The sequence below is a fragment of the Homo sapiens genome, chromosome 11 (genome assembly GCF_000001405.40).
Source record: "Homo sapiens chromosome 11, GRCh38.p14 Primary Assembly".
Taxonomy (NCBI): Eukaryota; Metazoa; Chordata; class Mammalia; order Primates; family Hominidae; genus Homo; species Homo sapiens.
This window is the reverse complement of record NC_000011.10, coordinates 32377067-32390597: the sequence shown is the minus strand read 5'-3', so window position 1 is coordinate 32390597 and position 13531 is coordinate 32377067. Positions and strand designations below refer to the sequence as shown.

At 47.2% G+C, this 13531-nt stretch overlaps 1 protein-coding gene across 20 annotated transcripts in view, besides 6 other annotated features; it reads left to right on the top strand.

Moving 5' to 3' along the window:
- Window positions 1–2823, top strand: part of WT1 (WT1 transcription factor) — a 47765-nt gene extending 44942 nt beyond the window's left edge. For all 20 annotated transcript variants that reach the window (NR_176266.1, NR_160306.1, NM_001407050.1 and 17 more), the window contains one exon: window positions 1419–2823. Coding sequence is in view for 18 of the 20 variants with exons in the window: in NM_001407050.1 (NP_001393979.1) it covers window positions 1419–1540 (122 nt within the window). In the remaining 2 variants the exon portion in view is untranslated. The remainder of the gene's footprint in view (window positions 1–1418) is intronic.
- Window positions 3355–3703: an enhancer, noted in NCBI's record as "e351 fragment". NCBI's record gives its function as "enhancer in K562 hematopoietic cells {active_cell/tissue: K562}" and the evidence as "EXISTENCE:reporter gene assay evidence [ECO:0000049][PMID:8132626, PMID:7890725]".
- Window positions 3355–3725: a biological region, named in NCBI's record as "WT1 3' enhancer". NCBI's record gives its function as "regulatory_interactions: WT1".
- Window positions 3446–3703: an enhancer, noted in NCBI's record as "e258 fragment". NCBI's record gives its function as "enhancer in K562 hematopoietic cells {active_cell/tissue: K562}" and the evidence as "EXISTENCE:reporter gene assay evidence [ECO:0000049][PMID:7890725]".
- Window positions 3581–3725: an enhancer, noted in NCBI's record as "145 bp enhancer 75 fragment used in the MPRA reporter construct; PK_construct_4063". NCBI's record gives its function as "activates an SV40 promoter by MPRA in K562 cells {active_cell/tissue: K562}" and the evidence as "EXISTENCE:reporter gene assay evidence [ECO:0000049][PMID:23512712]".
- Window positions 3627–3657: a protein binding site, noted in NCBI's record as "GATA distal sites probe". NCBI's record gives the evidence for it as "EXISTENCE:protein binding evidence [ECO:0000024][PMID:7890725, PMID:19212333]".
- Window positions 3644–3661: a transcriptional cis regulatory region, noted in NCBI's record as "GATA motif; MPRA enhancer activity is reduced when this motif is scrambled". NCBI's record gives its function as "necessary for full MPRA enhancer 75 activity {active_cell/tissue: K562}" and the evidence as "EXISTENCE:site-directed mutagenesis evidence [ECO:0005528][PMID:23512712]".

Here is a 13531-nt window from a genome sequence, read left to right as displayed (position 1 = left end):
GAAGGAAAACATGACATCACAAACCCCTGAGCAGCCCCAGATTCTTCGCCCAAATTGGCTGCATTTAAAAACAGAGCCAAGGCACCTGTGGCCCATGGTTGGCAGGATGGGATCTTGCTTCCCTTCCTCAGGTGCCTTTGATGCTTCTTTAACTTAGTCCTGAGCTCATAATTCGGTGGCAAAGTGTTATAGTCCCTTTGACACGGCTGTCACACTCCCCAAGTAAGTGTGACATGACCTGTTTTGCCAGCAGACTGTTTAATACCACATTTGATTGGCCTCCAGTCTGACCCTGGGACACCAGCCCTCCTGGGACATTTCTCAGTGCTTGTCCAAACCAGTAGTTCTCAGAGAAGGCCAAGTGGGACCAGCAGTATCTGAGAAGATCCGTCAGGTGGCACAGGGTTTAGCTTCTGTGCATTCTTCCTTAAGATGGAGCTGCAGCTGCTTTTCCATCATGGCTAGGCCTGGGAGGTGTGATACAGGGAAGAGCACGGGCTCTGGAATTCGACAGACCTGGAGATTTGAGTTCTGCCTGGATCTGCCCTCAATAGATGTCCTACCTCATCTGTAGAGTGGGGATAATAACGCTTCCCCTACGGGCAGTTGTAAGGAGTACATGAGGTTGTGTGTGTGCGTGTGTGAAGCCCAGCACAAGGCTTGGCATATGTTAAGCATCAAATAAATGGTAGTTATTCTCCCTAATGAGAATGAGGCTTGGAAAGAATGTCTGAGGGCTCTTTGGGTGGAGAAGCCTCAATCTTTTGGCAAGCTTATTAAAAATCTAAGAACCACGCCCCAACTAGAATCTTCCATATAACAGGATTATGCTCTCAGTAACACTTTAAGAGAAAAAAAAAAACAACACATAACATGTAAACTGGTATCAGTGATTTATTTTAAAGTATCCAGCCCATCCAGGGTATCTACACAGATAGAAGTGTTAAAAGCTTCAGTCACAGCTGAGATCCCTGGACAGTGATCACTCAGTAATACCCAGGGTAGATGACCCAGAGGCTTCTGCAGCCCAGTTCATCTCAGTTCCCAACTTACTCAACAAGGGGGAGAAATTTACACAGTTCACAAAACATTCTATCAGCAGAGACTGAAACAAACGTTTTTCCCCTTAATTATGAATTGCTCAGACATTTCCCCCAACTTGACTCATTCTTTATCTCCCACTTTCCAAGTTTTCTGACCTAAGAATATAACTTTTTACAATATTTCGATCCTTAAAGCCCCAAGAGGTGCTGCTGTTTCAAGGCTGCCTGGGAAATGAGCTCAGTTGGTTAGCTCAGGGACAGAATGATGGGAAATTCAGAGTGGGTGCCTTGTGATGACTTCACTCGGGCCTTGATAGTTGAACTTGTGCCTGTCTCTTTGTTGCAAGTGTCTCTGACTGGCAATTGTGTCAACAGGTGAAAAGCCCTTCAGCTGTCGGTGGCCAAGTTGTCAGAAAAAGTTTGCCCGGTCAGATGAATTAGTCCGCCATCACAACATGCATCAGAGAAACATGACCAAACTCCAGCTGGCGCTTTGAGGGGTCTCCCTCGGGGACCGTTCAGTGTCCCAGGCAGCACAGTGTGTGAACTGCTTTCAAGTCTGACTCTCCACTCCTCCTCACTAAAAAGGAAACTTCAGTTGATCTTCTTCATCCAACTTCCAAGACAAGATACCGGTGCTTCTGGAAACTACCAGGTGTGCCTGGAAGAGTTGGTCTCTGCCCTGCCTACTTTTAGTTGACTCACAGGCCCTGGAGAAGCAGCTAACAATGTCTGGTTAGTTAAAAGCCCATTGCCATTTGGTGTGGATTTTCTACTGTAAGAAGAGCCATAGCTGATCATGTCCCCCTGACCCTTCCCTTCTTTTTTTATGCTCGTTTTCGCTGGGGATGGAATTATTGTACCATTTTCTATCATGGAATATTTATAGGCCAGGGCATGTGTATGTGTCTGCTAATGTAAACTTTGTCATGGTTTCCATTTACTAACAGCAACAGCAAGAAATAAATCAGAGAGCAAGGCATCGGGGGTGAATCTTGTCTAACATTCCCGAGGTCAGCCAGGCTGCTAACCTGGAAAGCAGGATGTAGTTCTGCCAGGCAACTTTTAAAGCTCATGCATTTCAAGCAGCTGAAGAAAAAATCAGAACTAACCAGTACCTCTGTATAGAAATCTAAAAGAATTTTACCATTCAGTTAATTCAATGTGAACACTGGCACACTGCTCTTAAGAAACTATGAAGATCTGAGATTTTTTTGTGTATGTTTTTGACTCTTTTGAGTGGTAATCATATGTGTCTTTATAGATGTACATACCTCCTTGCACAAATGGAGGGGAATTCATTTTCATCACTGGGAGTGTCCTTAGTGTATAAAAACCATGCTGGTATATGGCTTCAAGTTGTAAAAATGAAAGTGACTTTAAAAGAAAATAGGGGATGGTCCAGGATCTCCACTGATAAGACTGTTTTTAAGTAACTTAAGGACCTTTGGGTCTACAAGTATATGTGAAAAAAATGAGACTTACTGGGTGAGGAAATCCATTGTTTAAAGATGGTCGTGTGTGTGTGTGTGTGTGTGTGTGTGTGTGTGTTGTGTTGTGTTTTGTTTTTTAAGGGAGGGAATTTATTATTTACCGTTGCTTGAAATTACTGTGTAAATATATGTCTGATAATGATTTGCTCTTTGACAACTAAAATTAGGACTGTATAAGTACTAGATGCATCACTGGGTGTTGATCTTACAAGATATTGATGATAACACTTAAAATTGTAACCTGCATTTTTCACTTTGCTCTCAATTAAAGTCTATTCAAAAGGAAAGTGGCAAGATTCCATCAGCTGTATTGTGTTCAAATCTCAAGGCCACTGAGCCTCTTTTAAACAGGTAAGAGAAGACGCCACCGACATCGACGGCTACTAGTGAGCCTATCCAGGTCCTGACCACAATTTATTTCTCTCTGTCAAACTTCAGGAGGGACTTATATGTCCTAGAAGCAACAGAGAATATCTTCACCTTGTGTTACAGAGTGATTGTGCTCATGCTGTGGTTGAATGGGGTTTGTGGATGATGTGGTGATTATGTTTTAAGGTTTTAAGGTTTATTTTAAGCAGATTGTCATTGCATCCCATCATCCCAGATCAGCAAAAGAAAATAGAGAGATGTTAATGACAACTAGTCCTTTTGAAAAGTTCAGATACATCACTGGGAGGGCATAGGCTGAACACCTAGTACAATTGAATTTACAGCTGTACTTGCTATAAATCAGCTCAGCAGATTGAAAACTGCTCAGCCTTTCCAGGGCAACTGAGTGTGAAAGCAAAGATCTATATTATCTATAAACTATAAACTCTCTTTCTGTTCTGGTGTATGGTTTTTGAATTGTAAATAAGGAGATTAATTTGGTGCAGCCCCTCTCAGCTCCATTATCTTGGGGCTTGCATGCATTCCGGGTTTTATTTCTTCATTTAAAATGCGTCTCAAACAGATGGAAGCCTAGCTATGGAGACTGTTTTACATTGAAGTGCAGCTCAAAGTTTGGGCAGCCTAAAAGTCAGGTCCAGAGGCCCCTCTTATTTTGCATCTGGCTCTTGCATCACTGTTAATTATAGCGAGTGTGGTGACTCATTTATATCAGCCGTTTTTATCTTTTCCTGCCAGAAGACAGCATTTCTCTGGAGAAGCTCAGGACAAGCATGGCAAACGTCAGCGAGTCGGAAAGAGCCAGGTCTTACAACAAAAGTACAGCCACATTGATTGTTTCAACTGCACAGGGAAGAACAGAGATTCTCAGACGACCCTGTAAGTTTAGCTTGCAGTTAAGATCATGGGCTATGGAAAGCAGACCAACCTGGCTTCAAATTCTAAATCTCCAGTTTCTTTATCTGTGAAGTGGGGACAAAAGTCCCTGCCTGATAGGATCATAGTGAGGTTTAATTTTTTTTAAGTATGAAAACATCAAGTACATAGCAAATGCTCATAAACATTATCTAGGAAAACTATTACCCAAGAAATTACTGGCTCATTTCTTTTACCTCTCCCTCCTCCAGGCATCCTCTTGCAGTATCTAGCCATCCTCACAGGTCAGCTCTGAAAAATGGTAAAAAGTCCATTGCCCTCTACCCCAACCCAGAGTTAATAACTTTTGCAGCAATTGAGCTTCTTGCCAGCCTTGCCACAGAGACCATCTCTGCTTGCTCTGTGTCTTCTGTAAAGCACTTGTGAACACTGTATGTGTTTCTGAGACCCACTGTGTTACTCTTCCATAGACTGTGAGGAGTTAGTGGGTGAAAGTAGGTCAGTGGGAGCTCCCTGTGGCCCAGGCTTGAGGCGGTGTTGGGTGCAGTGGTCAGCATGTGCACTTTTCCATCTTGCTTTATTTACTGCAGCACCTGGTTTAGCATATGACTCAGTACTCCCAGCTCCCCAACTCCCTCTGCTGGATCTTCCCAGACTCTTCCAGTCACCCGGAGCCCTCTCTTCTCTGAACCTCTGTAGCATTTAGAGTACCTTTAACATTAAATAGTACTTTAGATCAGAATAGTGCTTTCCCATCCTTTTTGATCTTTAGGACAATCCTGTAAGGTAGACAGGGCAAGTGTTATTCCCACTTTACAGATGAGGAAATTGAGGCTCAGTAGAAGTAAGTGGCTAAGGCAGCTCTTAGTCTTGGTCTTCAGCATCCAGGTGTCGTCCTCCCAAAACATGCTTGGTGGTGTAGACTTGCACTCTGCTCCCTTGCCTCATTTTTATATATCCTTTTTTTCTTTTTGGCTGGAGTATAGTGGTGTGACCTCGGCTCACTGCAACCTCTGCCTGCTGGGTTCAAGCGATTCTCCTGCCTCAGCCTCCCGAGTAGTTGGGATTACAGGCTCATGGCATCATGCCCAGCTAATTTGTGTGTGTGCGTGTGTGTGTATTTTTTTTTTTGAGACGGAGTCTCGCTCTGTTGCCCAGGCTGGAGTGCAGTGGCGCGATCTTGGATCACTGCAACCTCCAACTCCTGGGTTCAAGCGATTTTCCTGCCTCAGCTTCCCAAGTAGCTGGGATTACTGGCGTGCACCACCATGCCTGGCTAATTTTTGTATTTTTAGTAGAGATGGGGATTTCACCATGTTGGTCAGGCTGGTCTTGAACTCCTGACCCCGTGATCCGCCCACCTTGGCCTCCCAAAGTGCTGGGATTACAGGCATGAGCCACCGTACTGACCTTCATTTTTATATATCCCATCTTCTCTGCTGGAGTGTGAGCTTCTAGAGGGAAGGAGATCCTCTTCTCCCTTTCCTGCATTACTTCCATTAGGGCTTCTCAACTTTCATGTCCATGGACAGCAGCTGGGGAATTTGCTAAAGTTCAGGCTTAGATTCAGAACTTCTGGGGCAGGGCGTTGAGAGTCCTCTTTTCTGACAAGTTCCCAGGGGATTCCCCCTGTGCCGGCCTGTGGATGACACTGTGTGTAGCGAGGATCTACAGGGTGGGCTTGTTAAATACTTGAAGGGTGACTGATGAGATTTGCACTTGACTATCCTGGGATGGTGCTGGGCCCTTCTAGTCCTTGAGAGGAGCCAGCGAAGATGGCCCAGGGCCCTGCTGTGAAGGTCCACTGTGGGTCAAGAAACGCATGCTGAATGCAGTCAGAGGAACTGTGTGCACTAGCCCAGGGGAATCAATCCATGAGGGGGTTGTTTTCAAACACAGTTGGCAGATCCTATGTTGGTGACTTCCACAAGTTGGGGAGACTTCCACAGGTAAGATCAAGTGTGGTGAGGGTCCATACCTGCCTCTCCAGTCCTTGCACCTCACTCAGTCACACATCTCAGCAGTGGACCCCTGCCTCCCTGATGCCCTGTTTTCCAGCATCCACAAATTGAAGTCTTATGGCCTTGGTGAGGATGTATTCCTTGCGAGCCCCAAGCCTCACTGGCAGGCAGCGTTTTCCCATGTCTTGCTGCTGCTAGGAACTACTTTCTTGGCTCTATTGGGTAACAAAGAGCAAAGGTGATGGTCCTTGGAGCCCTGTCCTCCCTGAAGGGTGTTTGCAACACTGATCTTGGACTAACGGATGTGCCAGGAAGAAGTTTGGGTGTGTGTGTGGGTGGGTGGTGGTCGGGTGGTTGATTTTGCTCCCCCAGGGGATATTTGGCAATTCTGGAGACATTTTGGATCATCATGACCAGGGCAGGGGTGGGGTGCTCCTGGTATCTGCGGGATACAGGCCAGAGATGCTGCTAAACAACCTACAGTGCACAGGACAGCACTTTCCTCCCCCTTCCCAAAGAAAGCTCTGGCCCAAAATGTCAATAGTCCCCTGGTTGAGAGACCCTGGCATAGAAGAGGGAAGTTGCTTGCCGTAGATGGACTGTTACCAGATGAGAGGGGTGATGGGGTGCATCTTGGCTGGCCTAAGAATTGCTGTCTGGGCTGTCTTGAACCCACCATTCTGAATTAACTGACTCGCAGGAGGCATTGTTCTTCAAAGTCTTGAAACAGGAAGAGTGGCTTGTAGGAATTTCTCATAGGTAAGTGCATGAGAACCACAAAAAGGGAAACAAATCCCTATGAAAATATAAAGGTCTGGGCTCTTCATTCAGGTCTTTTCTTCTACTGACTATTTTAATTATCGAGTGGATGAAATATGTGAAATTATTTATTTGATAGGATCTTGCAAAACTGATAAATAAATATAAATGTTCATGATGATGATCACACCTGGTCTGATTTCTATTGTCGGTTGATGTTATGCTGAGAAAGTAGCTGATTCCATGGAGGGCTCTGGGCTTTCCTCCATGTTTCAAGCAAAATCCTGATTCTGTTAGCTCTCAGGCTGGCCTTGAGAAGGAAAGAGAGAGCCAGACAGCATAGGAAGGGTATAGTAATTTAGAGGTCTGGAAACCCACTGGCCAGCCCTGTACAGTTAGGACGATCAAGACCAGATCCCTGAATAAGGTTGTGCTTCAGAGACTGATGAGGGGATGAGGACAAATTCCTGAAGTCCGGGGATCTGGAAGGTCAGTGCCTTTAAGCACAGACAAAATTATCCCAATTCGAGTAGAGGCCTCAGACAGGGAGACCGCAGCGGTAAGCAAGTCAAGCAGACCAAATGAGCAAATGTGAGCTGCGGAGTTGGTGCAATATTTTTATGGAGTAGGGGAGGATTGAAGGATGGTCTGGGGGATGGGCTGAGATAAATGCAGAGGGGAGAGGTTGGTTGAGACCAGTGGCTTTCCCCTCTCCTGTCGTCCCAGAAGCATTGGTGATGCTGACACTTGGCCATGAAGGATTGCCTGATGCAGTGGGGACTTGGAGGGCCATGGAGGAGGCAGTTGGGCTCCAGGAGAAAGAAGGAGGCGTGGAGTGAGGAAGACCAGTCTGGGAAGAAAGATGAGACGGATGAGGAATGGAGTGCGGATGTCAGGGAGGTCTGCAGGAAGAGGGGGCTTCTGTCTCACAGGGCCTGCCCCTAGCATGAACCTGCACCAGCCTGTGAACGCACACCCCAGGACTTTCACAATTAGGAGATGCTCAAGTGATGAACGGCAAATCGGATCAATGCACACCATGTATTGATCCTTTGTGTGCATCTCAGTGCCATTTTACATGCATTCTCCATTTACATGCAGTCTCTCCACTCACCTCCTTTTGATAGTGGTTCCCATTTTACAGATGAAGAAACCAAGACTCCAAAAGTACCTCCCACAGGGTCATGCAGTTCATGCATGTGGCAGAGTTGAGATTTTAATCTGACTGAGTCACAGCCCATATTCTTCACTCCTACACTGTACCACATTTGTCCCAGGCACGTTGGCCTTATGCACCAGAGGAGCAGGAATGTTGAGAGAATGCAACAGTGATATCTTGCCTGCTTGCTGGGATACCAGGGATGTTTTTCAAGTGCCTAGAGAAAGGACGGGCAGGATTGACACAATGTTCCCTTCTCCCATACCCAGTTGTAGAGCCTGTTTACAAAATATGTTTTCATTCAACATTTTGTATTAAATACCGGAACTCAAGAAACGACACAGCATAATGTTAGCCGGATAGTGATAAAAGGGGAAAATTGAGAAACACATCTTAAGAGTTCAAGGTCAATGATTACTCTTTAAAAGCAGTATCCTGCTTTCCCAAGGAGTTCTACGTCAGAGGGAGCGGGCTGAGGAGGAAGCTGTTGGTTTCCAGGGATGGAGGGGTGCGGGGGACTCTTGCGGACGTGACCCCATGGATGGGATTGTCCCACTTCTCAGCAGGCAGCCTCCACTTTTAAAAGATGAGTTCTTACCATCCAAATGAAAAAGGCCAGGGAGCCTGTCCTAGAGACACCGCCTGTCCCAATTTTTCTGACTTCTAAAAGTATAACGATCCCTGTCGGTGGCCTCTATCTTTGCCCGCATTCCAGCCCTGCCCTGGCAAACCTCTCCCCTAGCAGCGTCCTGGGAAGGAGTGCTCCCTGCTCTGGCTCATGGAGAGCTCGTTGTGGAGGAAGAAGGCGAGAGGAGCTGGGTGGGACAGCTTCTGCCTTCACCCATAACCAGGCTGGGGGAGACAGCATTTACCTCTCCCTCCTGAGAGAGCTGCCTTTGAATTCACTCGGTGGGCAACACAAAGTGCCCATCCAGTGAATGTTCCCGATGCTGCCTGATGAGAGAGATGTTCCTGATGCTGCCTCATGGAGACAAACCACCACTGTTTCTAGGCAAGGGTTCCCAGGCCCCAGGGAACACCACTGAGGAGAACTTTGAAGGACACCCCTCCCCACAACCCCACCAGTGTTAGTAGCATTCAACCGCTAGTGGCAAGATGCCACAACAGTTCTGCCTATTGCTCCAGCCCCTGGCCAGTCTCTGCTCACCTCTGCTCACCAAGGACAGCCTAGAAAGGGACCAGAGCAAAGGGTAAGGATTGTGGGAAGAGGCAATGGGGTGGCATGGCCCCCACCCCCAAAGAGACAGGAACATTCCAGTGCTGAGGTGCAGTGGCTACCAGCACACCCTCTGCCACTCACTGCCGTGAGCCCGGCAACGCCTTCTGTGCCTTGGAGCTTCAACTCAGACAGCACCACTCTTCACCTCCCAGGTTGTCCTAAAGATGAAAGGAGAGGCCACAGGTGCTTAGCCCGCCTACCCTCGGTCTTGCTGGCAGGCACTGCTCAGGGCAGTCAGGCCTCTGGCTGTGCGTGGAGCAGGTGCAGCCATTCAGAAAGGACTGAGGCAGAGCCTGATGCTGGGCCCCGGCCTGCACTGGCCCTGCGCCACTCCTGCCAGGGAGCCTTGGCCCTGCCTCACTGCAGAGAGGAGAGCTGGGCACCGCTGGGCGGAGCAGGCAGGAGCCGGGGTCAGTCACTGCCAAACTCCCTCGTCACACAGTTGTCTCTGTTCTCCTTTGACCTGCACAAGTCAGGAAGTGGAAGGGACACTTGCCCATCTGTCTCACCCCAGAGAGGAAGGTGCTGTTAGGGGACTGGCTGGGACCCACCCTCATTGGAGGTCAGGCCCATGCCTCAATTGTTCTGTGCATCCTTTGTATAAAGGTCTTCTCTGAACCCATCAGAATGCCTCCTGCCAGTTTCAACTTCCCAGATAAGAGGAGAAGAAGAAGGCATGGAAAGCACTTGGGACAAGTACACCTTTCTCACCTGAGTGTGTCGGCAGGAGGGACAGTATCAAGGAATCGGGCTCAGTTCACAGGGCGATTTGGGGCCTTGGAGACACCTTGCCTCCTAAGTTCTGGTTTCAAAGGAGCAGAACAGTGACACAAATAACCACAAGCAGCACTAATTCAAACATTCAGGTGCTGTGTTCCGAAATGAATTTATAGTGTGTTTAAAAAACATCCACATGGTAGATTCATCTGTCAGACTGCGGCCTTCTCAATGATGCAACTGCATCACGAGTGAAACCGAAGCATCTGCTCATTTATCTGACTGTAGGGTGCCAAATCTCCAGATATTTAGTCTTATTTTGCCCATTTTCATTCTTATTTGTCCTTTGAAGGTTACAGGCTCTGTAGATATATGAAGCTCCATTTTATTCCCTGGATCTGCCACTTCCCAGCCCCCTGATTCTGGACAGGTCCATGTAGCCCTCAGTTTGCCCATCTATGAGGCGAGGCTATAACAGTAACCTCATGGGACAGATGCGTGTTACATGAGACACAGTGCCTGGCATGGGGGTCAGCTCATAAGAGAAAGTTAATTAACAGTGGTGCTTATTACTGTCTTCCACACTGTAGACACTAATGGTTGTCTGGCTTGACATGTCCTGGGGAGCCTCTTGGTTTTTCCTGGGCACCCCTCACCTGGAAGTCAATGAGGGTGGCCCAGGATACTGGCAAGATGGCCCAGTTGAGGCAGGGCATACCAATGCCCTGGTAAGGCTGGCACTCCCTTTCCTGCTGCAAGCATTCCTTGACAACTCCATGAGGCGGAATGCAAACACCAGGCGAGTTCCGTACCATGCTGTAGACGCCAGGATGCACTCCTAGAAGCAGATATGTGAAGGCTCCAACCCCGCAGAAGAATTCATTAGGACAGCCTGTGATATGGTGCTGAAACCAGAGGCTTGTTCAGGCGGGCCAGGGATGGGGAAGTCTCGTCCCTGCTGAACTTCTACAGCTGATAAAGGCAGTGTCTGCTGGCAGATTTCATTTTTCACCGAGCCATCTGCATCCAGTCAAGGATAACTTGTCTTTCCGAAAAAGCTACTCTTCAGTGTCAACCCTGCACAACCTCCCCACAGTGAGTCAGGCCCCACTGCTGGTGCCTGGGGTCATGGGGGCGGTGTGGTATCAACAAACCAGTGTCATCATAATATACACGGAAGCATTGAAGTGACGAGCTGTTTACGTGGCTGATGCCCCGTTGCCTTTTATCAGCCCAAGTTATTGCCGATTTAGCTCTGTGTTAGCTAGTCTATAAATCTTCATGGCAGTGTTTTTATTTTCTTAATTTTGTCATTGCTATTATCACCTGTTTACATAAAGAACATTACTACTGTCTCTAGTCATTCTTGTTCTCCATCGTTTCTCCCACTTTTCATCCCTTCCCTCCACTTCTCTCTCACAGGTTGGAAATTCTCAGTTTGAGGCAGTTGGTCTGACCCTTCCCTCTTATGCGTGGATTCTCATGGCGGGTCCCGAGGGTACATCTGGGGGTGCCCTCCCTGGCTGCAGTGCATCCCTTTGGAGGGCTTATAGATTTGGGGGGAACTTAGGAGAACAACCAAGTTCTGGCCTTAAACTCTCCCATTCCTTACTTTGATTGCCAAAAAGGTTAACGCCAGCCATAGTGGTCTGAGTCTTCCTAGGACATCCCTTCAGAGCTGAGATAGGCCAGGAGGAGCCCTGTCCACTGCTGTAGTCAGTTCTTGCCCATAATTGGAGAAGAGACGTACCCTATTAGCTGCTGTTGCCCAACTACCACCATTGGAATTGCTTCTATAGACTTTCTGGAAACATGGACATTTAAACTAGGTGAAGGAATGATGTCCTTCATTTCTTAAAATCAGAGATAAGTTTATAACGTCATTCATTTAGCAGACATTGATTGTGAGCCTCCTGTGTTTCTGGCCCCTCATTCAGAGATAAATCATGCACTGCCTTCTCCCCAAGTATATTAGTCCCTTCTTGCACTCCTATAAAGAAGTATCTAAGACTGGTTAATTTATAAGAAAGAGGTTTAATTGGCTAATGGTTCCACAGGCTGTACAGGAAGCCTAGTGACTTCTGCTTCTGGCGAGGCCTCACGGAGGTTTTACTCATGGCTGAAGGCAAAGCAGGAGCAAGTGCGTCTCACACGTGGGGAGAAGTGGTGGGGCGATGCCACACACTTTTAAACATTCAGACCTCATGAGAACTCACTATCGTGACAAGAGCACCAAGAGGGGATGGCGTTAATTCATGAGAATCTGCCTCCATGATCCAATCACTTCCAACCTCCATGATCCAGGCAACCTCCAGCATTGGGGGTTACATTTCAACATGAGATTTGGGTAGGGACACAGATCCAAACTATATGACCAAGAGTCTCACAGTCTAATAGAAGAATCGGACACTTAAACAGGTAATACAGGCATGGGCAAAGGATCAACAATGAGCTTTAACAGGGGGAAGGTTTAACAGAGTTATTTTCAGCCTGGTTCTTGAAGGATGTATAGGAGTTTTTCAGAAGGAAGAGAAAGGGAAGAAGCTTCCAGGTAAAAGGATGTGCAGGAATTAAAAGGACAGGGAATATCTTGGCATACCTGGAGTCACAGTGGGGAAGGAGAATACTGGGCCATTGTCCACAAGAGACTCTTGCTTGCTCAGAATGGTGTACCCTCAAAGCTGGCTACCCAGGGTACATGGAACTGGTTTCCACTGGTTTGCTAGTAGCAGCTGAGCTGCTAACTCTTTAACAACTGGCTCCCACCCACCTCGGCCTCCAAAGTGCTGGGATTACAGGCATGAGCCACCGTGCCTGGCCCATAAGACATGTTTTCTAACCAAGATGTCACTTCTTGTTTAGCTGAAGGCAGTTGTTAAATATTTAGGTATTTTGCAAGCCAAATGTTAAAGTGTTAGTAGCTTGAACTGAAAGTCTTTACACCATGGGAATTGGCAAGTGCTACAAAGCAGGACTGCCTTTGTTGCTTTGTTTTCCAGAGAACCAGTTTACCTGTATACCATGGTAGGCTACTCTTTGGATGGTGGCTGAGAAGTTATATCCCAAGAGCACCTGAGCAACGTGTCTCTATGTGCTCAATTATTCCTTGTGTCTGGAAGGTCCAGCGGAGTGGTTCTTCTTAAGCATGTAGTCTTCAAAGATAGGGTCAAAAGAGAAATAGAAAAAAAATGTGACTTTTTCTTGTTCTTTGAGGATGGCTAGGTTTGTTCCTTGTTTCTGCCTCACAGCCTGTTCCTGTTCTTCCTCCAACTGGCCTATTCTGAAGCCTCCTTGAGGTCCAACCCCTGGGTCAGTTCCCATGGAGATGATTAGCAGGTCCTTGGTTTCTTCTCTCAGAGGCAGGACAGCACTTGTCCTGGAGGGGCTGGGGCAGAGGCTGGGCGTAGACCCAGGGGATCTCAGCTTAGCCAATCTCAAAGAAAAGGACTAACTTTTTAAAGACCTTTCCCCACCTTCCCTTTGTCTGAATTGAACAGTTATTTCACTGTCAGTTGACATGGTCTTGGCCTCAATAAATGTATGTATGGTTGCTCAGACCCTGAAATCCCTGGCCGCAAACAATGGATTGTCCCAATGCAGTGTGATGAAAGAGGTCAAACAAAATACACTGCAATCTCAGGTTGGCTGCTGACCGGTGGTGGGAAGTGTAAGTGAACAAGTCACTTAACCTCTCTGAACCTCATTTTCTTTATCTGTATAATGGGAATAATCCCAATGTATAGCATTGCTCTAAGGATTAAATGAGACCACCTGCATAAAGTGCCTGGCTTTGCTAATTAATGTCCTTTTCCCTCCTGCCTTTGGCTCCAAGCACCTGCCTGACTACTTATTACTGCTTATCCTCATTTGCCGCTAATGAGGGTGATGCTGACTTG